General features: G+C 42.5%; 1 long non-coding RNA gene across 2 annotated transcripts in view, besides 2 other annotated features; it reads left to right on the forward strand.

Moving 5' to 3' along the window:
- LOC105370500 (uncharacterized) overlaps positions 1 to 26972 on the forward strand; it is a 138447-nt gene that overhangs the window by 29419 nt on the left and 82056 nt on the right. The window lies entirely within an intron of this gene.
- Positions 13709 to 14314: an enhancer, noted in NCBI's record as "OCT4-NANOG-H3K27ac-H3K4me1 hESC enhancer chr14:53301633-53302238 (GRCh37/hg19 assembly coordinates)". NCBI's record gives its function as "activates a minimal SCP1, AML or CMV promoter by ChIP-STARR-seq in naive H9 embryonic stem cells {active_cell/tissue: H9 hESC(naive)}" and the evidence as "EXISTENCE:reporter gene assay evidence [ECO:0000049][PMID:30033119]".
- Positions 14315 to 14919: an enhancer, noted in NCBI's record as "NANOG-H3K27ac-H3K4me1 hESC enhancer chr14:53302239-53302843 (GRCh37/hg19 assembly coordinates)". NCBI's record gives its function as "activates a minimal SCP1, AML or CMV promoter by ChIP-STARR-seq in primed H9 embryonic stem cells {active_cell/tissue: H9 hESC(primed)}" and the evidence as "EXISTENCE:reporter gene assay evidence [ECO:0000049][PMID:30033119]".

Genomic DNA, 26972 nt, shown 5'->3' on the forward strand with positions numbered 1-26972 from the left:
TGGTCCCAGCTGCTCAGGAGGCTGAGGCGGGAGGATCAATCGAGCCCAGGAGGCCAAGACTGCAGTGAGTTGTGATCGTGCCACTGCACTCAAAACTGGGTGACAGAGTGACACTCTCATAAAATAAATAAATAAAGCTATAAAGAACATCATTGGGACAATTACAGACATTTCGATTTAAGCTGGATATGAGATAGGGCATTACTGTTGATTTTCTTAGGTTTGATAATGACATTGGGGTTATGAAGGAGAATATCCTTGTTCTTAAATGATGCTTCAGGGAATATTAGGAAAAAAGTGTCATGATATCTGTGACTTACTTTCAATGGGATCAGAAATAAAAATAGATAAAGAAGACTGTTACTAATAGCCAGATGAAGGTGGCGGGTTTATGAGTGCCCATTATTCTATTCTCCCAAATTTTAAGGATGTTTGAAATTTTTCAAAATAAAAACTTGGATAAAAAAAATAGTTCTTTTTACTCTTCCCTGTTTAAAAAAAAAAGTTATTATGCAATTTCCCAGACAGAATCTATTCCCAAACTATGAATTAGAAATTGGAGATCATACAAACTGGAGGAAGATTCAGAAAGGATTTTGTTGTTTTTCTTTTAAATCTAAGTTACACCACTCAAGGGTAAACTTAGATCTGAGGCAACACTGTTCATGAACTTTGTCACAACAAATATTGAATGTTTATTTGCCTGAACTCCGTTTAACCTTGCACATTCACCTTCGTGTTGGCGAAGAGTTGTATTTCATAATTCCTAGCAAGGCAATGCCACCTAGTCCATGTAAGTGTTCATATTATGGCACACCTAGGGGCGTGGTGGGCAGTGGAGCCAGGACAGTTAGAAGATGCAGTTTCACTTGGTGAGTTTACAATTTAATTGGAAGCAAAACATGATGAAGCTGAAGAACACGCTCAGAACAATTTGGAAACTACAAGTTAAAACAGCACAGTTCCCTGGGAGGTGGAGGTTGCAGGGAGCTGAGATCAGCCATTGCACTCTAGCCCGGGTGACAAAGTGTGACTCCGTTTCTAAATAAATAAATATAAAATAAAAAGCACAGTTCCAAAAGTGGTAATAAGGAGGAAGCCATTGCTAACATTGGTGTGGAAAAAAATCTGTGGTGATAATTCAGATGTTAACAATGACCAGACGTTTGCTATAGATGTCACACTTCTGCAGAGATTACATTTTTCTTCAAGTCCCAGTAGATTCAGGGTGCCACCATTGGAATTTTCTGTTGCTAGCCACATTTCCAATTTAGGGATTCCTTCCCTGAAGTTGAACCCTAGAATGGCATTGTGTATCTAACCATGGAGGAACTGTTTTTGTGACCATAGTTTCAGCAAGTCCACAAAGCCCCCAGGGTAAAGAATGTATCCAGTGTACCCAATATATATTGTATATACAATATATCACAGTATTAGGTAGACATCTTTGATCCTTAGTATCAGACTTAAAAGAGAGTGTTACTGATTTTCCTAAGGAATGTGAAAAAGAATAGTTGATCCCCTAAAAAGTCATGATAGGCTGGGCGTGGTGGCTCACACCTGTAATCCCAGCACTTTGGGAGGCCAAGGCGGGTGGATCACCTGAGGTCAGGAGTTCAAGACCAGCCTGGCCAACATGGTGAAACCCTGTCTCTACTAAAAATACAAAAATTAGTTGGGCATGGTGACAGGTGCCTGTAGGAGAATCGCTTGTATCTGGGAGGCAGAGGTTGCAGTGAGCCGAGACCGCGCCATTGCACTCCAGCCTGGGCAACAAGAATGAAACTCTGTCTCAAAAAAAAAGAAAAAGTCATGATAGGGGAAAGAAAATGACCTAGATTCATATAGGAGCTAAGAATTCTTACAGCTACTATTGTCACGCGCGTCCGTGTGAAGAGACCACTAAACAGACTTTGTGTGAGCAACAAGGCTGTTTATTTCACCTGGGTGCAGGCGGGCTGAGTCTGAAAAGAGAGTCAGCAAAGGGTGGTGGATTATCATTAGTTCTTACAGGTTTTGGGATAGGTGGTGGAGGTAGGAGCAATGTTTTGTGGGCAGGGGGTGGATCTCACAAAGTACATTCTCAAGGGTGGGGAGAATTACAAAGAACCTTCTTATGGGTGGGGAGAATTACAAAGAAGCTTCTTATGGGTGGGGGAGATTACAAAGTACCTTCTTAAGGGTGGGGGAGATTACAAAGTACATTGATCAGTTAGGGTGGGGCAGAAGCAAATCACAATGGTGGAATGTCATCAGTTAAAGCTATTTTCACTTCTTTTGTGGATCTTCAGTTGCTTCAGGCCATCTGGATATATAAGTGCAGGTCACAGTGGATATGATGGCTTAGCTTGGGCTCAGAGGCCTGACAACTGTGACATTCATTCTAAAAGTTTTATCCGATGTGATAGACCTATTACAATTCTCATATATTTACCCAGGCACTTTCTGCAAGTATAAAATATATTGACTTAATATTGTATTGTTAAGGCTAAAAAATCATTTTTAATAAATGAAAAATGTACAAAAGTATTCCTTTTTACCTCTAGGTGGTGCTGTGTATCGTTTTTTGTGAGCACAAGTTGCCTAGTTTTTAAATTGGATGGACTCAAAGATTAACCATCTTATTTTACAGATAAACTAAGATTCATTGAAATTTTGTTTTAAGATAAAAATTCTGGTTTGAGGCAGAGCCAGGATTAAAGCCTTTTTTCGGTAAAGTGTTTAATGTACGAATCATTTTACAAAAAGTATTGTCATTCCAAAGTTATTGCAAGCAGTATTACACAGTTGTGACAAGTTTAAAATTTTATTTTATTGATTTATGACATTTTCTTAGAAAGTTCTAAAAGAGGCCGGGCGCAGTGGCTCACGCCTGTAATCCCAGCACTTTGGGAGGCCAAGGTGGGCGGATCATGAGGTCAGGAGATCGAGGCCATTCTGGCTAACACGGTGAAACCCCGTCTCTACTAAAAATACAAAAAAAATTAGCTGGGTGTGGGGCAGGCACCTGTAGTCCCAGCCACTTGGGAGGCTGAGGCAGGAGAATGGCGTGAACCTGGAAGGCAGAGCTTGCAGTGAGCCGAGATCGTGCCACTGCACTCCAGCCTGGGCAACAGAGCGAGACTCCATCTCAAAAAAAAAAAAGAAAAAAAGAAAGTTCTAAAAGAGAATGATTCTCCAAATTAAGATGAAAATAGATAGTAATGACAGATAATGGACTATCATTATGTGTACATCTAAATTACTTTACCAAAGAAACTCCCAATGGTTAAAGAACACAGATAACTTGCTGAAAAGGAAATAAAAATTGGTAATACTTACATGAAAATCTATTCAAAATCACTAAGAATCAAAAACTAGAATAGCAACACGGTCTCCCCTTGTCCCTTTCAGATGAGCAAAAATGTCCATAAAGTGGTCATCTTTCAGAGATGCTGAGTCAGTGGTAAGACAGGCATTTCACCCACGGGCAGTAGGAGCATAAATTAGTACAATATTCTGAAAGTTAATCTGACAGATGTTATCAAGAACCTTAAATTCTTCAAACTCTGACGTAGTAGTTCAACTTCTAGTCTGCTCTCGTAGGAAATAAACAGAAATATGGAAAACTTATGTGCAAAGATATTGACTACATCATTACATATGGTACTTGTAAATAAGAAAATCATTACATAAATTAGGGTATGGTTATGATATCTCACAGCCATTTACAAACTTTTTGCAAATAATTTTAAATGACATAGGAAAATATTCATAATACTATCCTAAATTAGGAGACTAAAATCTATTAGCATGGTATTAGCTGTATAAAAATATTACAGTATTTGGAGAAAAAGAATGAAAAACATTCAAATATTAACAAAGGTTATCTGAATATGAAGAGTATGAGTTATTACTTCTTTCAGCTTTCTTTTATTTTTCGAGTTTTCTATGAAGTATAAATAGTACTTTATAGACAGAAAAAATGTTATTTTTAAAATGAAATAAGTAGCATTTGGAGTGATTTTGAAACCCATCATTCTGAAACTTGTCATTCAATCATCTGCGGCTGAGAGTTTTTCAGCTTTCCCGTTCTCCTCCCTTAGACTGGCAGTGAGAATGAGAAGGAAATGCTACACACAGCTTCATTTCCTAGAGTCAGAATCATTATGTCTCACTGGCTTTCCCTTTTCGCTCTTTGATTATGATTGAGAAAACTTCAAAACCCTAAAATCTAAAGTTTATTTTAGACAGCAGTGAATAATCATGTCTAAACAAATCTCCCTGAATATATATATTATCCACTTTTCTTCTTCAGGGTTTTCCCTCTCCCTCATTCATTTTATTCTATGAATTTTTTTTTTTTTTTTTTTTTTTGAGACAGGGTCTTACTCTGTCGCCCAGGCTGGAGTGCAGTGGTGCGATCTCAGCTCACTGCAGCCTCAGTCTCCCCAGCTCAAGCGATCCTCTCACTTCAGCCTCCCCAGTAGCTGGGAATACAGGCGAGTGCTGCCATGCCCAGCTAATTTTTGTATTTTTGTAGAGGCAGGGTTTTGCCATGTTGCCCATGCTGGTCTCAAACTCCTGGGCTCAAGCAACCCTCCTGCCTTGGCCTCCCTAAGTGCATGAGTCACTGCACCTGGCCTTATTTTATGATTTTTTTTTTTATTATTGACTCAATTATTACAACTTAATTGTATGCATGATAACTCATCAAGTGCTCTAATGTGAAGCTCACACATTCAGATGTCTTGTTAGCTTCTCCTTAGTTTATCCTAAAACCGGTTACTAAAAAGACTCTCAACTTAAACTAGACTCTTGCTAGCTCTCAATACTAAACTTAAAACATTCATTCATTTTTGGAGGAGAAAATATTGGTTCATCTGAAACTTCTTTTTAAAATTCAGATTGTCTTCTTAATGATGAAAATCATAAAATGCATATTCAGTGTAAGTAGTGAAAAAGTCTAGAATTACACTGCAAGAGACCTTCACATGTGTCCTAGAGATTGGTTAGAAGGACAGTTAGGAAGTAACAGTTTAGCATTTCCATCTGGCACTAACTATTTGTGTGATATTTGACAATTTTTTAAAAAATGTTTGTTTTAATATATTTTTCTTTCACCATCCACATTTCCACAATGGCAAATTATTTATGCTCAGTTTCTTTGCCTATAAAATTAAGATGGGGCTGGGCGCAGTGGCTCACGCCTGTAATCTCAGCACTTTGGGAGGCTGAGGCAGGTGGATCACTTGAGGTCAGAAGTTCAAGACCAGCCTGGCCAACATGGTGAAACCCTGTCTCCACTAAAAATACAAAAATTGGCCGGGCACAGTGGCTCACGTCTGTAATCCCAGCACTTTGGGAGGCCAAAGCAGGTGGATCACAAGGTCAGGAGTTCAAGACCAGCCTGGCCGAGATGGTGAAACTCCATCTCTACTTAAAAAAAAAAAAAAAAAAAAATTAGCCAGGTGCAGTGGCAGGCACCTGTAATCCCAGCTACTTGGGAGACTGAGGCAGGAGAATTGCTTGAACCCGAGTGACAGAGGTTGCAGTGAGCTGAGATCGTGCCACTGCACTCCAGCCTGGGCGACAGACTGAGACTCCATCTCAAAAACAAACAAACAAAAAAAAACAAAAATTAGCTGGGCATGGTGGTGTGCGCCTGTAATCCTAGCTACTCGGGAGGAGGCTGAGGCAGGAGAATCACTTGAACCTGGGAAGCAGAGGTTGCAGTGAGCTGAGATCTCACCATTGCACTCTGCACTCCAGCCTGGGTGACAGAGTGAGACTAAATCTCAAAAAATAATAATAAAATTAAGATGGTAGCCCAGGTGACCTATATGGCTCATGGTCTGATGGAGGGGAAGAATATTTGGAATTGTGCTTGCAGTGGAAAATCTGGGTCACATGACTTCCATATGTTTAAGATGCCTTCTGGCCAGGCGTGGTGGCTCACGCCTGTAATCCCAGCACTTTGGGAGGCTAAAGTGGAAGGATTGCTTAAGGCCAGGAGTTCAAAACCAACCTAGGCAACATAATGAAACCCCATCACTACAAAACATTTAAAAATTAGCCGGGTGTGGTGGCATTGCCTCTGTAGCCACAGCTACTCAGGAGGCTGAGGTGGGAGGATCACTTGAGCCGTGGAGATTGAGGCTGCAGTGAGCCATCATCATGCCACTGCACTCCAGCCTGGGTGAGAGAGTGAGACCCTGTCAAAAAAAAAAAAAAAAAAAAAAATCCCTTCTGATTCTGAAATGCTTTTCTGCTGTGTCCCTTCATGAGGATGTCTACAACAGGAACTTCCTGGGCCCTTGTCTTACAAGCTTGCACCCAGATCCCATCAGTTTAGAAGCCACTGTTTGCTTCTGTTTTCTTAGTGATAGGATCTGAATGTTTGTGCCCCACCCCCTGCAAATTCACATGTTGAAAACTTAATCCCCAAGGTGATGGCATTAGGAGGTGGGACCTTTGGGAGGTGATTAGGTCATGAAAGTGCTGCCCTTATAATGGGATTAGTGCCCTAATAAAAGAGACACAGAGAACTCATTTTAATCCTTCCACCATATGAGGCCACAACTAGAAAATGCCATCTATGAACCAGACAGCAGGCCCTCAGCAGATACTGCATCTGCCAGCACCTTGATCTTAGACTTCCCAGCCTTCAGAACTGTGAGAAATCAATGTTTATTGTTTATTAGCCACCCAGTTGATGGTGTTTTGTGGTAGCAGCCTAAAGACTAACACAGTTACTCAGAGAAAACACTGCTTAAGTGTTAGATCTAGGGGCATAGAAACTGCTACTGAACCCCTAAAATACCGTCTTGTCTCAGTCACAAACACCTCTGGAAGGATGCAGCAGTCATGCATAAGGAATTGTTAGCAGAGCTCTAGTGTCTAAATTCCTGCATTGTCTCCCTATTCTTCCCTACCCGGGGCCTACCTTAATGTAGATAGAGTACACAGATGGCTACCTACGTGATGTGATTCGAGGGGACACAAGACAGGGTTCTTCATCTAGAAAGAAATACCTACCACATTGCCGGCTAGGCCAACATTACTATACTTAACTTTGGCTCTTGAAGGCTACTGCAGATTATAAAGACATTCTTCAAAAAGTGGAGAAAATCCAACCCAAGGAGAACAGGAATATTCATAGTGCAGAGAGGATAAAGTTCAAACAAAAACGTTGGTGAGGCTACCATGAGACTTTAAAAAAACAGATTTAAGGCCGGGCACGGTGGCTCACGCCTGTAATCCCAGCACTTTGGGAGGCTGAGGTGGGCAGATCACGAGGTCAGGGGATCGAGACCATCCTGGCTAACATGGTGAAACCCCGTCTCTACTAAAAATACAAAAAAATTAGCCAGGCATGGTGGTGTGTGCCTGTAGTCCCAGCTACTCAGGAGGCTGAGGCAGGAGAATTGCTTGAACCTGGGAGGTGGAGGTTGCAGTGAGCCGAGATTGTGCCACTGCACTCCAGGCTGGGTGACAGAGCAAGACACTGCCTCAAAAACAAAAAACAAAACAAACAAAAATCAGATTTAAGAAATAGTAGACTGTGACAGTGCCTCAGACAGCAGCCAAGGGCATTTACTTTTAACACCATGAGCATCTATCTTTACGTCTGTGTTCATTCCAGTATTATCAACATACCATGCTTTGATGGTAAATCACTAAGTCGTCACTTAGTTTGCCTGGTACGTTCGAGTAGCTGTTGAAGAATAGATTTCAGTTTAAGATTTCCTTTGTGGCTGTTTTTAAAATGATTTCTTTGGACTGAGTTGTATTCCATTTTCGGCCATCAGTGTGTTTATAGGCAGACTTCTTATGTTTATCTCTGGGTGCTTTGTTTTGTAACTATATTTAAAGACATTAATAGTGAAATAATTCACCTTTAAACAAGATATTGTAAAAGTGTGTTAAATAAAAGGGAAATTTTTATGCCTTAGCCTTGTAAATTGTAAACAATGAATAGGCTTTATTTTCTCTCAAAGTTCTTAGAGCTACTCGTGGTTTATAAACATAGTGAAATTATAAACTTACCAGTTTATCATTTTAAATTTAGCTTAATTAGAGATGAAGACAAAAGCAGATTATGAGAAAACAGAATTCTAGGCATCTCAGATAAATATTATAGTGTAACTTTGGCCAGAGCTTGCCTAGGGAAATCTACAATTTACTTGACGTTTTTGGTTGATTTTTCTGTGATTCCTCTTCTGTATTTTAAAAGTATTCTTAGATGTTGTAGATATGTATCCATTTGTTCGACAAATTATCTATTTGAACACAGACACCCCCTGTGTTCTGAGAACTATGTTTGTGCTTGAAGCTACTAAGTGGAATAAGACAAAGTCCCTCTCAGTGTCAGTGGGAGACAGAGATAATTACAGAGTCTTGCTACACACACAGAAATATGCTTGAGGTTCCAAGAGATCACCTGGGAAAGAGCCCCTGCTTCTGTCTGGAAATGTCAGGGGAGACCTGCCCAAGGAGGGAACACTTACCGGAGGGAGTGCCACCTGTCCTCGTGGTCTAGACGGGGAGAAAAGCAGCTGTGAGGCAAGTGCTTGGCTTGAGGGAGCCCTGGTGCTCTCCACAGCCTAAGAGGTTCTGGGGAGGTGCTCAAAGAAGGACCACTAAGAGTTAGAGGAAAAATATCTAGTAAGAGACATGCAGAGCCAAGGGTAAGGGCACAAACATGTTCACGTAGCTTACTCAGAGAAAGACAAGCAGTTCAGAAAGCCTGGGAGGCGGAATTTGTCAGGGGAGCTGATGCAGGAGGGTGTGGTGGGATATAAATTTGAGATTTGAACTCAGGCATTCAAACTCCATAGTCTGTGCACCTAAATGCTATACTATCCTGCCTTGAAAAGGCCTCAGGGGCCTTCTCTGGAAATCCAGTGCTTACGTCACATGGACACACAACACACATTATCTTTTATGTATATACATATAAAGACTTAATTTGCCAGTGATAGGGAACCACGGAAAGCAATTGTATTTTATTATTATTATTTTTTGAGACAAGGTCTCACTCTGTCACCCAGGCTGCAGTGCACTGGCACGATCATGGCTCCCTGTAAGTCTTGACCTCCTGGACTCAAGTGAGCCTTTTGCTTCAGGCTTCCAAGTAACTGAGACCAGAGGTGGACACCACCATAACCTGCTAATTTTTTTTTTTTTTTTTTTTTTTTTTTTTGAGAGAGAGTTTCACTCTTGTCTCCCAGGCTGGAGTGCAATGGCATGATCTCTACTCACTGCAACCTCTGCCTCCCAAGTTCAAGCTATTCTCCTGCCTCAGCCTCTGGAGTAGCTGGGATTACAGGCGCCTGTAACCATGCCCAGCTAATTTTTGTAATTTTAGTAGAGACAGGGTTTCACCATGTTGGCCAGGCTGGTCTTGAACTCCTGACCTCAGGTGATCTGCCCGCCTCAGCCTCCCAAAGTGCTGGGATTACAGGTGTGAGCCACTGTTCCTGGCCAATTTTTTTTTTTTTTTTTTTAATTTTAGTAGAGATGGGGTGTGGGGCTGGCAGGGGGAAGTTACCAGTGTGTTGGCCAGGCTGGTCTCAAACTCCTGGGCTCAAGTGATGCTCCTGCCTTGGCTTCCCAAAATGCTGGGATTAGAGGTGTGAGCCATTGCCCCCGGCCCTAGAGTCCTGATTTTAAGGGGCTGTAATAGAAATGAGGAAGAACAGCGTCAGGTGATGAAAGTAATCCAGACAGGCATATAATAAATGATTGTTGAATGAGTAAATACTTAATATGGGCAAGGCACGGGGTAGTGCAAGGTTTTTCTCTATTTGTAGATGCAAAAGTAATTTAAGAAGACTTCTCAATACTCCCATTGACTTGTATGAAGTTACTCCAGATTTTAAAGGGTGTTTGTCTTCTGTAGAGGCACATATTTTTTTTATTTTTCTTGTGGAAGAGCTATTGTTGACCAAAAAAAAAAGGAAAAGAAAAAGAAAAAAAGCAGTCAAAGGCCTAGATTCCAAAATTTTCCTGGTATTTTAAAATTGAATTGACAAATGCAATTGGAAAGTTAACATACATTAAGCTGAGATTTTAAAGAGGGCTTCTGTAATGGCAGAAGCATCTTTCAACTCCAGCTGTTCTAATGGCAGCTTCCTGTCCATCTGTGAGTCATTATTTTAAAAAGTTGTATTTAAGTTAAATAATGTCACTACTTAGCTTTTTTGTAATTAGATATAGTGATTAGACTCTTTTAAAATTATGCTTGAGTTTTCAATTAAGAAAACCACGACAAAGTAATAACAAGTTTTAAAGGTCTGAAAACGTTTATTGAGTAAAAAATACTGAATTAGAAAATTGAATTATATGACATTCCTATTAAAGGCAAACAAAGCTTCTAAAATTTTACATATTTAAGTAATTAAGACAATCGGAAAATTATGAATCAGGCTCTCAATTTTCTAGTCCTTTATAGTATGAAAGTTCCATTATAAATCTGCTGGATTTATGAACTGAGGATGCTGATTTAGTAGGGCATAAAACCCTATAACATAATGCTACTTACTGAGGGTTATGTTTCTTTGCTTGTTTAATACTTTGAGAAAGTAAAAAGAATAGAGTAAGGGGCTGATTGAGTTCATCTGGAAGAACCCGTGGCCCCATCCCCCAAAGGAAGCCTTCTCATCCTTAAATCTTGCCTACTCGTTTGCGTCTGAGCCCTCTCCCTTTCCCGACCCTTCTCACCTGTTGTGAACCCCTGTGCTCCGCCCCTTGGCATTGAGGGTTTCGTTCTGTCATTTAAAATTGTCATATAGTTATTTCGTGTGTACTTGGTACAGGCTTGTCCCTAGAGTTTGCTTTTCTTGAAGGCAGGGAGCATGCTAGGTTTTATTGCCATTTTCCTACAAGGGCTTAAATCACTCTGATCCTGAATACCCTGTTTCCAGTAGTCTGATAGTTAATTTTCTATGTCAGCTTAGCTAAGTTCTAGTGCCCAGTTGTTTGGTGAAACACCAGTCAAGATGCTGCTGTGACGGTATGTTTTAGATGATTAACATTTAAATCAATAGGCAGGGAGTACAGAAGATGACCCTCTGCAATATGGGTGGGCCTCATTCAATTAGTTGAAAACCTTGAGAGCAAAGACTGAGGCTCCCTAAAGTATAAGGAATTCTCAAGACTGCAACACGGAAACCCTGCCCAAGCTTCCAGCCTGCTGCCCTGTGGAATTAATTCTCCGGACTGCAACAGCCTCTCTTGTCTGCATTTCCAGCCTGCTGGTCTGCTCTTCAGATTTCAGACTTGCCAGCCCCCACAACCACGTGAGTCAATTCCTTAAAGTCAATCTGTGTACGTGTGTGTGTGTGTGTGTGTGTGTGTGTGTGTGTGTGTGTGTGTGTGTATCTCCCCTATTGGTTCTGTTTCTCTCCAGAACCCTGGCTAAGAGGTATGAGAAATCTACAATAGCCGGGCGCGGTGGCTCACGCCTGTAATCCCGGCACTGTGGGAGGCCGAGGCGGGCGGATCACGAGGTCAGATCGAGACCATCCTGGCTAACACGGTGAAACCCTGTCTCTACTAAAAAATACAAAAAAATTAGCTGGGCATGGTGGCGGGCGCCTGTAGTCCCAGCTACTCAGGAGGCTGAGGCAGGAGAATGGCGTGAAGCCGGGAGGCAGAGTTTGCAGTGAGCCGAGATCACGCCACTGCCCTCCAGCCTGGGCGACAGAGCAAGACTCTGTCTCAAAAAAAAAAAAAAAAAAAAAAACTACAATAAAGGATAACAAGACTGTAAGATATTTCACTGGGCTATATCATTTTTATAGTAACCTCTGAGGAAACTACTAACTAGTTATCAATTTGAAAAAGTGACAGATCTTAAAGGAGAAATAACTTAGCCAGTCAACCGCTGTACTTAAAGTCTCCTAATCAGACTATACTTGTCATTGATTTTTTACTTTTTACTTGGAAATAATTTTACATAAAAGTTGCAAGAATAATACAAAGAAAACCTGTATATTCTACCCAGCTTCACCTAGTTTACCCATTAACTTGATCATTGTGCACATACTCATGTATGAAACTTACAATATTTCTTTTTCTGAATTATTTGAAAGTCAGTTGCATATACTACAAGTCTTTTCCTCTAAATGCTTTGGTGTGTATTTCTTAAGAATAAGGATAGTCTCTTGCTAATCCAATACAGTTAACAACTAAAGTAATTTTAACATTGACATAATCTGTATTCCAATAGTATCTATTAGTCTAATATTACCCTTTAAAGCATTTTTCCCCCTTTATTTGGTATAAGATCAAGTTACCATGTCTTTCTAATCTGGAACATTTCCATGACCTTCCCTTGTCTTGTATAACATAGGTGCCATCAATTTTTTTTTTTTTTGGGACGGAGTTTTGCTCTTGTTGCCCAGGCTGGAGTGCAATGGCACAACCTCAACTCACCGCAACCTCTGCCTCCTGGGTTCAAGTGATTCTCCTGCCTCAGCCTCCCGAGTAGCTGTGATTACAGGCACGCGCCACCACGGCCGGCTAATTTTTGTGTTTTTAGTAGAGACGGGGTTTCTCCATGTTGGCCAGGCTGGTCCCAAACTCCTGACCTCAGGTGATCCACCCACTTCGGCCTCCCAAAGTGCCGGGATTACAGGCATGAGCCCCCCCACCCCACCCCCCCCACCCCTCCCCCCTGCCGGCTCGCCCGGCTCCAGGTGCCATCAATTTTGATGCAAAATTTCTAGGGAAATTGTTCAGTTAAAGGCAGTTTTCACAAAACTCAGAGTCAAATCAATATCAGATGTAATTTCCCCACTAGAACTTCATTAGGATCGCACAGGATCCTTGATATGAAACATATACCCTACTGATGCCTGACTAAATGAATCTCGTGGCCCCATGGTTCTCTACTACGCTTTCCTCATCTAGGTTTTCCTCTTTGCCTTGGGCACAGTCAGTGGGTACGACAGACTTTTCGTCTGAGGTTTAGTGACTAAAGAGTTCATTCTGAATTAGAGCTGGACTTGGGAATTAGAACCAGATCTGTTCTTCAGCTAATTAGTCCATAACATAAGACAAAACTAAGGGCTTCAGTTTTTAAAAAATTAATGAGAAGACATTGAAGTCACTGGCAACAGGCTTTTCCAAAATATGTTCTCTTAAGCCTTATCTAATGTATTTTATAAAAAACTAAATATAATTAAGCTACATTTAGCCCATAACAAGCTCTGGCTTTTTTTTTTTTTGTTTTTTTTTAAACAGAGGGGAACATTTGATTAAATTACTATTCATCTGAAAACATTTGATGGGGGAAAAATCCATTAGATGCATGAAGACAGATAACATTGAATAGTTAATTGGAAACAATCACATGATGTAATACAGATAACTAAGGAAAGGGGTCTTGCATCTGAAATACATTTTTATGTGCTGGTTGCAATATATTTTATAGTCCAGTTGAAATTGCTGTCATGGAACTCTTTGGACCAAAAATGGAAGTCATATAGTGTATCACATTACATCTTCATTTTGGCTGACTCATTGTGTTGGCATGTTTTTGCTACAGATGAATGTAGAGATGGTTCACATCATACTTTAGAAAATATGTCTTTGGATAACAGAACAGAACGTGATTAAGGAGAATTCTGAATTATTAGGCATTAAAAAAAAACTAAAGGCATTTTCTTTTGGCCAATGAAAATAGCTTAGTGTTTTTTTTTTTTTAAAAAAAAAGAAAAAACAACAGGAAAAATATTAGAATTTGATGAGGGGGGTACATATTTAGGTTATTACCAGTTAGCTAATTACCAGGCAGAAATCCCCAGGTAGCAGATGTTACTTTTGTGAAAAAGAAAGCTTTTTTGTGTTACTTAGAAAACTTAATGAATAAAACAATTGCCATTGAAAAACCTAAATACGATTCTCCCTTAGAAACAAACTAATTGTGGGGCCTATAACCAGAGTCAGGAAGTTAGTGATAAAGTTAATGAAGACAAATGGCCCGGTTACCTAATCCCATCAATGCCTCTTCCCTGGAAACCCAAATGGCCTTGGGCCAAAGGGAGATCTGCTAATACTACCTGCAGAGAAGAGGTTTCCAAGCACTTTTCTAAAGTACTTTCCATTATTTACCCTACAGGAGATTAGGTGTGATGTGAATGCAAAGCAGTTATTTTCATTAATGAGAGCCACCCGTGACTCCCTGGACACCTTGACAGAGGACAAAGGCATGTTTCTTTCTCATGGTTTGAAGGAAATAAATTGTTTCCATCTGAATGAATCTGTACTGGCCAAATGTAGAAAGCAGTTGCATGTCCAGGGATAAATTCTGGCCTTTGCCTTCCTACTTCAAGTGGTTTTCCACCCCTTAATTTACCTAAATGAAATTTAGAGAGGCTGCTCCACACTTCCTCCCAAGGAGACAGCTTCTCCAGTGAGTCATGCAGACAGACACCCTCCAGCCACCAGGGCGTGTTCTCTTTTAAGCACAGACAGGGCGGCGTCTCAATGGCCTCCCACGTCACCGACAGTGACGGCAGCCCCCTCCAATTTCTTGGAGTGGGTTGCAGACTCTGCCAGGTGCCACAGCCCTGAGAAACCAAGGAACATGTCTAAGGAGCCTACAGAGTGGGAGGGAAATGCGGGTAACTGAGGACTGTTGCGCCTCACCTGTCTAACAAGAGCAGCATGTGTGCCCGTATGTGGGGGCGAGGGTTGAAAGGGTACTGGGCCTGGGGTGGGGTAGGCAGGTGGTGATAGTAAATGGGTGTAGGGTTTTGATTGCCTGCAACAGGATTTCAAGCCTTAGGCATTGTTTTTTAAATCCCTGATTTAATTAATTAATTAATGTATTTATTTATTGAGACGGAATCTCTCTGTGTCGCCCAGGCTGGAGTGCAATGGTGCAATTTCAGATCGCTGCAACCTCCACCTCTTCGGTTCGAGTGATTCTCTTGCTTCAGGCTCCCAAGTAGCTGGGATTACAGGTGCCTGCCACCACGCCCAGCTAATTTTTGTATTTTTAGTAGAAACGGGGTTTCACCATTTTGGGCAGGCTGCCCTCGAACTCCTGACCTCAGGTGATCCGCCTGCCTCGGCCTCCAAAGTGCTAGGATTACAGGTGTGAGTCATCGTGCCCAGCCTGAATAATTTTTTTTCTATTCTCCCAGGAGGGCTTGGATATAATCACTAAATTTTCTAGCTTTTAGAAGGTCATGAACCTATGGGTTCTATGGACAAATACTGTTGGATTTTATTTACCAGAATGCAATTAGATGATCAGATAAATTATTGGTTACTTTGCCAGTAACTATGATTCCCATGGGACTATTGCTTTTGAAATGCCAACATTTTAAAGCCTTCCAAGGTTCCTGCTGTGTATTAAAGAAAAAACTAATCTGACACACTTATTAAAATAGTAAGGCAGGCCGGGCGCAGTGGCTCATGCCAGTAATCCCAGCACTGGGAGGCCGAGGCGGCGGATCACGAGGTCAGGAGATTGAGACCATCCTGGCTAACACGGTGAAACCCCGTCTCTTCTAAAACTACAAAAAATTAGCCGGGCGTGGTGGCGGGCGCCTGTAGTCCCAGCTACTCGGGAGGCTGAGGCAGGAGAATGGTGTGAACCTGGGAGGCGGAGCTTGCAGTGAACGGAGATCACGCCACTGCATTGCAGCCTGGGCGACAGAGCAAGACTCCATCTCAAAAAAAAAAAAAAAAAAAAAAAAAAAAGTAAGGCAGACTTTGTTCAGGAGAATTGTAGTAAGAGCTTTGAAACAGAGAGATTGAGCTCAACTCTGAATATAATCCAGACAGCTGAGGTTTTATGGCCAGGAAGCAGAGTGAGGGGGTCAATGGATGGAAATTACTAAGAGATATCAAGGATAAGGGGATTCTTGCTAAACTAATAACGTAGGATTCTTGCTGAAGACAGGTCGAGGACTTACATGTCAAAGGTCGGGGATGAGGAACTTGATCAGATATTGAGGGGTGGGGATTCTCCAGGATTCTTGCTAAAACTGGGTTTATGGAGACCCAGCAAGGACAGGCGAATAGGGTCTGGGGCAGGGAACCTAAGGATTTCCTAGAGCTAAATCCAACAGAAAAACCCCAGCTTTCTAAGACCAAGTAAATATCTTTGTAACTCTACTTCAGTTACGACAGGAAACATCCTCTTCATTTGCATAGGAGGTACACCAACTAAATAACTTTGTAACCTCACTTCAGCCTCTTCATTTACATAGGGCATACACCAAGTAACCAGTGGGAAACCTCTAGGGGGTATTTAAACCCCACAGAATTCTGTAACCCCGCCCTTGAGCCCCTTGTTCAGGTAGCCCCCATCCTGTGGAGTGTGCTTTTGTTTCATTAGATGTGTGCTTTTGTTGCTTCATTCTTTCCTGGCTTTGTTTGTGCGTTTTGTCCATTTCTTTTTTCAAAACGGCAAGAGCCTGGACACCCTCAACTGGTAACAACAGGGGCCAAGGTCCAGGCATGGTTGAGAAGAGGACTCAGAGGAGTCTGACCAAAGCGTGGCGAAGGAGAAGGCCGTTGTCATATGTACTAAATACGATTCTCCACTGCAGAAATGGGGAATGAAGGCTCTGGTGCAGTTAATCTGAGAGGGGGAAAAGCATTTCTCAGACTTGTGCTTGGGAGGTAATAAACACAGGGCTTCTATGCGAGGGCCATGATGTCTCTTCTGAAGGGTAGATACTAGTGCTGCTGGGGCCAGCAGGGTCAGCCATTGGGCCAGTTATTTCAGGTGCCAGCCAGAGCTTCCAGGCCTTCTAGCAGCCCAGCCAAACAATTTGCTGTTAAACTGGATCCAGAGAGACTTGGAAGTCTTGATTTATATTCTAGGGTCAAAATGGACTAATCAAATCACCTTGTATTAGTTTTAGATATTAAAAAGTTGAAAATGCATTTTAGATTATAAACCTGACCTTGTGGGGTGAGATAGTTATCTTAAAAGCTCACGTAGGTTTTGTGTGTGAGTGTGTGTGTGTGTGTGTATGTGTATGTGTTAAAATATACAAAACATAAAATTTACAATTTTCACCCTTTCTGAATGTACAATTCAATGCCATTCAGTACAGTCACATTCACCACTATCTCCAGAACTTTCCCATCACCCCAAACTGAAACTCTATACCCCTTAAACAGTAACCCCTCATTCTCTCCTTGCCAGTTCCTGGTATCCACCATTCTAGGTTCTGACTCTCAGAATTTGATTACTCTAGGCACCTCATAGAAGTGGAATCATATAGTATTTGTCCTTTTGATGAGTTCATGTCCTTTGTAGGGACATGGATGAAGCTGGAAACCATCATTCTCAGCAAACTATCGCAAGGACAAAAAACCAAACACTGCCATGTTCTCACTCATAGGTGGGAATTGAACAATGAGAACACTTGGACACAGGGTGGGGAACATCACACACGGAGGCCTGTTGTGGGATGGGGGGCAGGGGGAGGGATAGCATTAGGAGAAATACCTAATGTAAATGACGAGTTAATGGGTGCAGCACACCAACATGGCACATGTATGCATATGTAACAAACCTGCACGTTGAGCACATGTACCCTAGAACTTAAAGTATAATAATAATAAAAAAAAATTTGTCCTTTTGTGACTAGCTTATTTCATTTAGCATAATGTCTTCAAGATTCATCCCCATTTTAGCATATGTTAGAATTTCCTTTATTTTACTTTGTTTTATTTTTGAGACAGCGTCTCACTCTGTCACCCAGGCTGGAGTGCAGTGATGCAATCTTGGCTCACTGCAACCTCCACCTCCTGGGCTCAAACAATCCTCCTACCTCAGCCTCCTGAGTAGCTGGGACTGCAGGCGAGTGCCACCATGTCTGGCTAATTTTTGTATTTTTTGTAGAGGCAGGGTTTCACCATATTGCCCAGGCTGGTCTCAAACTCCTGAGCTCAAGCGATCCCCCCACCTCAGCCTTCAAAGTGCTGAGATTACAGGTGTAAGCCACCATATCCATCCTAGGGGTTCTTTATATATTCTGGATATTAATCCTTTATCATATATGGTTTGCAAATATTTTCTTTTTTTACTTTTTCCACAGAGATGAGGTCTCACTATGTTACTCAGGATGGTCTTGAACACCTGGGCTCAGTGATCCTCCCACCTCGGCCTCCCAAAGTGCTGGGATTACAGGTGTCAGCCACCATGGCCAGCCAATTTGTGAATATTTTCTCTCATTCTGTGGGTTGCCTTTTCAGTCTGTTGATAGTTTCCTTTAAAAGGTTTACAGTTTGATGAAGTTCAGTTTAGCTATTTTTCTTTTGTTGCCCATGCTATTGGTGCCATATCCAAGAAATTATTGCCAAATCCAATAATAGCATGAAGTTTTATTCTCCTGCCTCAGTCTCTTGAGTAGCTGGGACTACAGGTGTGCATCACTGTGCCTGGCTAATTTTTTTTTTTTTTTGAGACAGAGTCTTGCTCTGTCACCCAGGCTGGAGTGCAGTGGCGCAATCTCGGCTCACGGCAAGCTCCGCCTCCCGGGTTCACGCCATTCTCCTGCCTCAGCCTCCCTAGTAGCTGGGACTACAGGCGCCTGCCACCACGGTGCCTGGCTAACTTTTTGTCTTTTGTAGCAATGGTATCTTCCTACGTTGCTCAGACTGGTCTTGAATTCCTGGCCTCAAGAAATCCTCCTGCCTCAGCCTCTAAAAGTGCTGGGATTGTAGGTGTGAGCCACTGTGCCCAGCCTACTCCTATGTTTTCTTCCAAGAGTTTTATAGTTTTCACTCTTACACTTGAGTCTTTGATCCATTTTGAGTTAATTTCTGTATGTGGTGTAAGCTATGGCTCCAGTTGCATTCTTTTGCATGTGAATATTCAGTTTTCCCGCCACCATTTGTTGAAAAAGATTGTCCTTTTCTCCATTGAATGGTCTTGATATCCTTGTTAATCATTCTGTTTTATTTGACATTGAGAAAAGAAAACTGTTAGAATTAAATCTAACCTTTTAGATTTATATTTCACTTTTTAATACATTTTCAAAATCCATGCATTTGCTACAGTTTTTTCATCAGCCCTTTGCCCAAGAGTCAATGTGGGTCACGAACTTGCCTGCAGTAGGGGTGAGGAGACCTGGTCTAGGGAATGACTCTATTGGCTCCATGGCCTTTGGATGGTTTGAGGAAACTCAGGCCTCCCCAGATTTTTTTTGCTGGGTATCCTACAGATGGAGTTTTCCTTCTAAAGGAAACATTCCTTTAGCTTAACAAACATTTTGTTTGTTTGTTTGTTTTTGAGACAGAGTCTTCCTCTGTCTCCTGGCTGGAATGCAGTGGCGTGATCTTGGCTCACTGCAACCTCTGCCTCTCAGGTTCAAGCAATTCTCCTGCCTCAGCCTCCTGAGTAGCTGGGACTACAGGTGCCCACCACCACACCCAGCTAATTTTTGTATTTTTAGTAGAGACGGGGTTTCACTATGTTGGCCAGGATGGTCTTGATCTCTTGACCTCATGATCCACCTGCCTTGGCCCCCTAAAGTGCTGGGATTACAAGTGTGACCCACCGTGCCTGGCCCTGTCTTAACAAACTTTTAAAATGCCAGTACACATGGGAGGAATAAAGAATATTAGTGACTCACATGCCGGTATGAATTCATTTATATTACTTTCCTGCCAGGCAATTAGCTGAGAGGGGGGAAATTTTAACTTTAACTTTAGTGGAGGGTTGCGGAGAAGGAGAAGGAGAGCAAGAAACTTTGCTTTGGGGACAAGGTCAGCTTCCAAGGAGGAATGTGGGTGCCTGGGTGTGGTGCTACCCTGGACAGCACGAGGCATTGAGTATCTCAGATGGAACCAGGAGAGAGGACCAAGACCCAGAAGGGGAAGTAGGAGAGTCTAAAGATAAATTTTGCCTACTTCACAGCTGTGCCAGGGAGAGGCCCTGGGAGTGAGCATGAGTAATCCAGAGATGTGCATGCATGGGGCCCGGCCCTCTTTTGTTTATTCTAATGCTGTCCTGGCAGCAGTAGACACTTCCCCAGGCCTGGCAACATTTCTTTCAGATATTGTCTGGCCAGTCCATCTTTGAAGGAAAAATGAAAAGATGGTAGTGCTGAAAAACCTCTAACTAGAGAATTTTCTTCCTGTGACCCTCACCTCCACCTCCAACACATTCACACACACAATTATCTCCTTGTGGGATTTGTCATGATTTTATAATGATTCTAATTTGAGTTGATTGCACTTGTTTAAATACCAGATATTTAAAATGTAGAGTGTGTTATTGATGCTGGTGAGTACTGGATGGCTTGTTGTTTGCTTTGAGACAAGGTCTCACTCTGCCACCCAGAGTGCAGTGGCAGTCACAGCTCACTGCAGCCTTGACCTTCCAGGCTCAATAGATCCTCCCACCTCAGCTTTCCAAATAGCTGGAACTATAGGCACATGCCACCATGCCCAGCTAATTTATTTTTATTGATTGATTGATTGAGACAGTCTCACTCTGTTGCCCAGGCTGGAGTGCAGTGGTATGATCTTGGCTCACTGCAGCCTCTGCCTCCTGTAATCCCAGCACTTTGGAAGGCTCAAGCGATTCTCCTGCCTCAGCCTCCTGAGTAGCTGGGACTATAGGCAGAAGCCACCAAACCCAGCTAATTTTTGTATTTTTAGTAGAGATAGGGTTTCACCATGTTGGCCAGGATGGTCTTGAACTCCTGACCTCAAGTGATCCACCTGCCTTGGCCTCCCAAACTTCTGGGATTACAGGTGTGAGCCATTGCGCCTGGCCAATTTTTTATATTTTATATTTTATATATTTTAATATAATATTTAAAATATATATTTAATGTTTTATATTTTTTTGTTGAGATGAGGTCTTGCCATGTTGCCCAGGCTGGTCTGAAAATCCTGGGCTCAAGCCATTCTCCCTCTTCAGCCTCCCAAAGTGCTGGGATTACAGGTGTGAGCCACCACACCTGGCTAGAGTACTGGATATGTTAATAGTTCCATTCATACATTTCAAGAATTAAGGTGTTTTTTAACTTACTAAAGGCTGGCTTTTTATCCTGTAAACTTCTAGCCCAAATCATCTCTACTACACAGTAGAGAAAAGTAGTTTTAGAATTTGGTTTAGTTATCCCTAAAGCACCTTTTATTCACAAAGGGAAAGATGTATCTGGATCACATTCAAAATGTGTCTCATTAATGCCTCCTTATTCTAATTAATTTGGCCATGGGGAACTTAACCATTACTGAATGTTAATCTCATAAAAAGTACCAAAACCATTCTCTTTTTGTTCTCTGATAAGGATTTTCCCTTTTCTATTTCAGAACTAATTATCTCTCTCTCCTTAGTCTTTGTACAGTTTCAAGAGTTGACGTGTGAAACTATACAAGATATCACAGGCTGGGTGCAGTGGCTCACGCCTGTAATCCCAGCACTTTGGGAGGCTGAGGCGGGTGGATTACCTGAGGTCAGGAGTTCAGGACCAACCTGACCAACATGGTGAAACCCCATCTCTACTAAAAAATACAAATATTAGCCAGACATGGTAGTGGGCACCTGTAATCCCAGCTACCTGGGAGGCTGAGGCAGGAGAATTGCTTGAACCCGGGAGGCGGCGTTTGCAGTGAGCTGAAATCGTGCCATTGCCCTCCAGCCTGGGTGACAGAGGGAGACTCTGTCTCAAAAACAAACAAACAAAAAGATATCACAAATCACTCTAGCCAATGATTTTCTCTTTGACAAATCACACAACTCTCTTTAAGAAGTTAATGAGAGAGGCTGCCCTGTGTTATCACTAGGAAGCTGGAGTTTCTACTTTCCATTACCTTTCATTCAGCATCTACTTTTTTTTTTTTTTTTTTTTGAGATGGAGCTGGCTGTGTTGCCCAGGCTGGAGTGCAGTGGCATGATCTCGGCTCACTGCAACCTCCGCCTCCCGGATTCAAACAATTCTCCTGACTCAGCCTCCCAAGTAGCTGGAATTACAGACGCGCGCCACCACGCCCAGCTAATTTTTGTATTATTAGTAGAGAGATGGGGTTTCACCATGTTGGCCAGGCTGATCTCGAACTCCTGACCTCAAATGATCTGCCTGCCTTGGCCTCCCAAAGTGCTGGGATTACAGGTGTGAGCCACTGCAACTGGCCTAGGAATAAGATATTTCTAATAACAGTTTTTCTCTTAAAGATTCCAATAAATGGAAAGAAATACCATACCCGTGGATTGAAACATTCAATATTAAAATGTCACTTCTCCCCAAAGTAAAATAGAGATTTGGTACAATCTCAAGCATAATCCGAGCAGTCATTAATATATTAATAGGAGCTGAAAAGATGATTTAAAAATCTATGCAGGCCAGGCTTGGTTCATTTACTTTGCATATATTTGAATGTTTTCATAATAAAAAGTTTTTAAAAGCATTCATGAAATATAAAAACCAACTGATTGGATAGATCGTAGTTTGCTGCCATCCCTGTACCTTTCCTGGACAATGTTCAATTATCCATGTAAAGGGGACAGAACACATTGTACTATTACAAGCTTTGGAGCCATTTTGCAGCTATGTGGCTTTGAGAAAATTTCTTGACTTCTCCGTAGTCTGGTTCCCTCTTCAGGCTTGTTGCGTTCATGTGAGATCACACACCTCTGGTGTCGAGTGCGTTGTCAAGCCCCTGATGCACCATTGCTTGTTCAATAAGTGTTCATGACTGCTCATGGAGGAAAGTGGGGCAGAGATTACCTTTAGAAAAATGTATTCTTGGCCAGGTGCGGTGGCTCATGCTTGTAATTCCAGCACTTTGGAAGGGCGAGGCTGCCAGATCACCTGAGGTCAGGAGTTCGAGACCAGCCTGGCCAACGTGGTGAAATCCCGTCTCTAATAAAAATACAAAAATTAGCCAGGCGTGGTGGCGGGCACCAGTAATCCCAGCTACTCAGGAGGCTGAGGCAGGAGAATCGATTGAACCCAGGAGGTGGAGGTTGCAGTGAGCTGAGATCACACCACTGCACTCCAGCCTGGGTGACAGAGCAACACTCTGTCTCAAACAAACAAACAAAAACAAAAACAAAAAAAAACACAAAAAATTATTATTTGGTTTTGGAAAAATCCTTTTCTGTTTATTTTGAATGTGACTGATATTTGGGAACTGGCATGATAGGGTCATACTGCAGGAGATTTGGGTAAGAATAAATGAGAAAGGGGCTCTGCCCTTGCAGTAGACTCTTCACCTTCACACTTAACTTGAGAATTAACTCCTGAACTTTGTCTCCATGACATTGCCTCCACATTCCTGACAAATAGCACATAAAGGGATAATGCAGATGACCCTGACTTTTTTTTCTTGTTTGCCTTTTGAATTTGAGAGCACCTATCTCTGGATTGTTTTGATTGGGTCAGTATTTAAATTGGCTCTATTTCCTGTCTTTAAAACAGCTAGTAATAGAGAAGGCTAAGATTTTAGACCTAAAAATAGCAGAAAAAGGAAAAAAAATGTATATCCAGCTAATAAAAAAAAACTAAGCATATAATCACATCAAGCCCGGGCCTGGAATACTGTTCTGAGTTTCTTTTATTAGCAACTTTCACTTCCGTGTTCTCACATTGTTACGGGCTGATCTTTTCCTTTGGCTGGAGTTCTTTTCTTCTTTCAGTCAAGGAACTGGTTTAGGCACCTTCTCTACGCCAGGCCCTGTTAGGCACTGGGGACGTGCGGCTGAGGGTGGCCTCCTAGTTCTCAGGCTGGGAGACAGACACTGAGGACATAATAAGACCCCTGTGGGGACTCTTTAGAGAGGGTTGTCAGGGAAGGCCCCTCAAGATGTCTTGAGTGCAGACCTGTGGGATGAGAAGGGCTCTGCTGGTCTCTCTTCCTTGCTTTGCATAGTGTTGGTTATTGGTGTCATTTTTTTCTCTAGAGGACCTAGATGGAATTTACCAGAAAGAGCTGTCTTTGACGATTTATTTAGGGTCACGGTGTTTCCAAATCCCTTCACAGAAGTTGCTCTGAGCACCACAACATATTTTGTTTTAGAGAAGCAGATTTAAGCACATCTGCTCCGGGTCTAAGGTCTCTGTGCACTCCTAGCCATGTCACAAAAAGATTCCCACGCTTCAGCTCTCTTGCTGGTTATCTGTGATCTCGTTCCTTCCCTTTTGTCCTCCCCTGAGGATGTGCTCATGTGCTGGTGTCTGTTTCTGGCCCATCTCTCTCTCCTCATCCTAAATGTAAGGAGTGTCTTTAATGGACATTGGGCTTCCCATGGGTCTTCTCCATGACATCCTGTTTGGGAAGCTTCAGTGTGTTATACCACTTTATCTTAGACTTCTGTAAAACTTTTTTTGTTGCTTTCTCATTTTTGTTCCTCCACTGCTTTTTAAAAATACAAGCATTCAGCTGGATGCGGTGGCTCATGCCTGTAATCCCAGCACTTTGGAAGGTGGAGGCGGGTGGATCACCCGAGGTCAGGAGTTTGAGACCAGCCTGACCAACATGGTGAAACCCTCTCTCTACTAAAAATATGAAAATTAGCTGGGCTTGGTGGCGCATGCCTGTAATCCCAGCTACTTGGGAGGCTGAGGCAGGAGAATCACTTGAACCCGGGAGGCAGAGGTGCAATGAGCTGAGATCATACCATTGCACTCCAGCCTGGGCAACAGAGTGAGACTCCACCTTAAACGAACAAACAATATGAGCATTTAAACTAATTTAGGTTACAATTGATGCTTCACATGCATGTATTTTTAAAATGTTATTTATTTTAGAGATAGGGTCTCCCTCTGTCACCCAGGCTGGAGTGCAGTGGTGTAATCATGGCTCACTGTGGCCTTGAGGTCCTGGACTCAAGTGATCCTCCTGCCCCAGCCTTCCAAGTAGCTAGGACTACAGGTGTGCACGACCATACCTGGCTAATTCTTTTTTTTTTTTTTTTTTTTTTTTTTTTTTTTTTTTGAGATGGAGTGTTGCTCTGTTGCCCAGGCTGGAGTGCAGAGGCACGATCTCAGCTCACTGCAACGTCTGCCTCCCGGGTTTAAGCAATTCTTCTGCCTCAGCCTCCCAAGTAGCTGGGACTACAGGCAAGCACCACCACACCCGGCTAATTTTTGTATTTTTAGTAGAGACAGGGTGACAGGGTTTCACCATATTGGCCAGGCTGGTCTCGAACTCCTGACCTCATGATCCACCCGCCTCGGCCTCCCAAAGTGCTGGGATTACAGGCATGAGCCACCACACCCGGCATACCCAGCTAATTCATTCTTTCTTTCTTTCTTTCTTTCTTTCTTTCTTTCTTTCTTTCTTTCTTTCTTTCTTTCTTTCTTTCTTTCTCCTTCCTTCCTTCCTTCCTTCCTTCCTTCCTTCCTTCCTTCCTTCCTTCCTTCCTTCCTTCCTTCTTTCTTTTCTTTTTTTTGTACAGTTGGTCTGGAACTCCTGGGCTCAAGCAATCCTCTCACCTCAGCCTGCCAAAGTTCTGCGATTATAGGTGCGAGCCACCACACCTGGCCACAGGCACATATTATTTTTCTTGTGTTTCTTCAGGATGATTTTAAATGATAGGGTCTCCCTCATGTTCTGGTTTTCCCATCTGCACTTGGGAAATAGTTGGCTAAGTTTAGCTTCATTTGAATAACTCAAACATGTGCTACATTGTTCCACATGACTTCGTTTGTGGATTTTCTCCAATTTCTTTTTGTAAAAAATCCCTCTTGGAGGTTTTCACAAATATTTATTGAGCACCTACCATTTTTTCATGTCAGGGTGTGGAGCTCCTCGCTGACCTGGAACCTGGCTTCCCTGCCTCGTGCCTGTGCCTTCCTGCCCTCTCCCCTGGCCCGGGTCGCTGTGGCCCATGGCCTCTCTTTGCCCACTGAACACTTATCCCTGCCATCATGTGCTCAGTAGCTTATCATAATCAGCCGGCCCTGTGACATGTATCAAACTTCTTGTGTGCTGTCTTCCAAGAGTCTTTTCACCCCTGGGCCCTCCCTCACTGAATATAGTATTCTCTTCCTTCTGGACACTAAAAGTACCCAATTTGTTAAAAGGATAATGGCCCCTTGCTTTCTACCTCTCCCCACTCAACTTTAGTAACCTGCTGTGGTCTTCAGCTCTCCAAGGGAAGTTTCTTCCTTTCTCAAAAGAATATGTTGACCAAACAGCTTTACTTGCTTCCTCAGAGTCAGTACAGACTGAGGAAGAGCTCTGAATTTGTAGATCTCTTGGAACAATATGAACTGACTGGCCTCCTTGATTTGTGACCTCTTATATAGAGACATCACTCAATTATGTAATAAACATTTAGTTATTAAAACCTCTGCCCCCCTTTTAAAAAATAGTTGCCTTAACAGATTGCAAAAGACTATGCCCTAGGCTTTTATGGAATATGGACAGCTTCTTAGCTTAATTTCTCAGGATATAAATTAAGAGCAAGTTTTTTTTTTTCTTTTTCTTTTTTTCTTTTTTTTTTGAGACGGAGTCTCGCTCTGTTGCCCAGACTGGAGTGCAGTGGCATGACCCCGGCTCACTGCAACCTCCGCCTCCCCGGTTCAAGCGATTCTCTTGCCTCAGCCTCCTGAGTAGCTGGGATTACAGGCGCACGCTACCACGCCTCGCTAATTTTTGTATTTTTAGAAGAGATGGGGTTTCACCGTGTTGGTCAGGCTGGTCTCGATCTCCTGACCTCATGATCCACCCACCTCAGCCTCCCAAAGTGCTGGGATTACAGGCATGAGCCACCACACCCAGCATTGTTGTTTTTTTTTTTTTTTTCGAGACGAAGTTTCGCTCTTGTTGCCTGGGCTGGGGTGCAATGGCACGATCTTGGCTCACTGCAACCTCTGCCTGCCCAGTTCAAACGATTCTCCCACCTCAGCCTCCCGAGTAGCTGGGATTACAGGCATGCACCACCATGCTTGGCTAATTTTGTATTTTTAGTAGAGATGAGGTTTCACCACGTTAGTCAGGTTGGTCTTGAACTCCTGACCTCAGGTGATCCACCCACCTCGGCCTCCCAAAGT

The sequence above is a fragment of the Homo sapiens genome, chromosome 14 (genome assembly GCF_000001405.40).
Source record: "Homo sapiens chromosome 14, GRCh38.p14 Primary Assembly".
NCBI classification, from domain to species: Eukaryota; Metazoa; Chordata; class Mammalia; order Primates; family Hominidae; genus Homo; species Homo sapiens.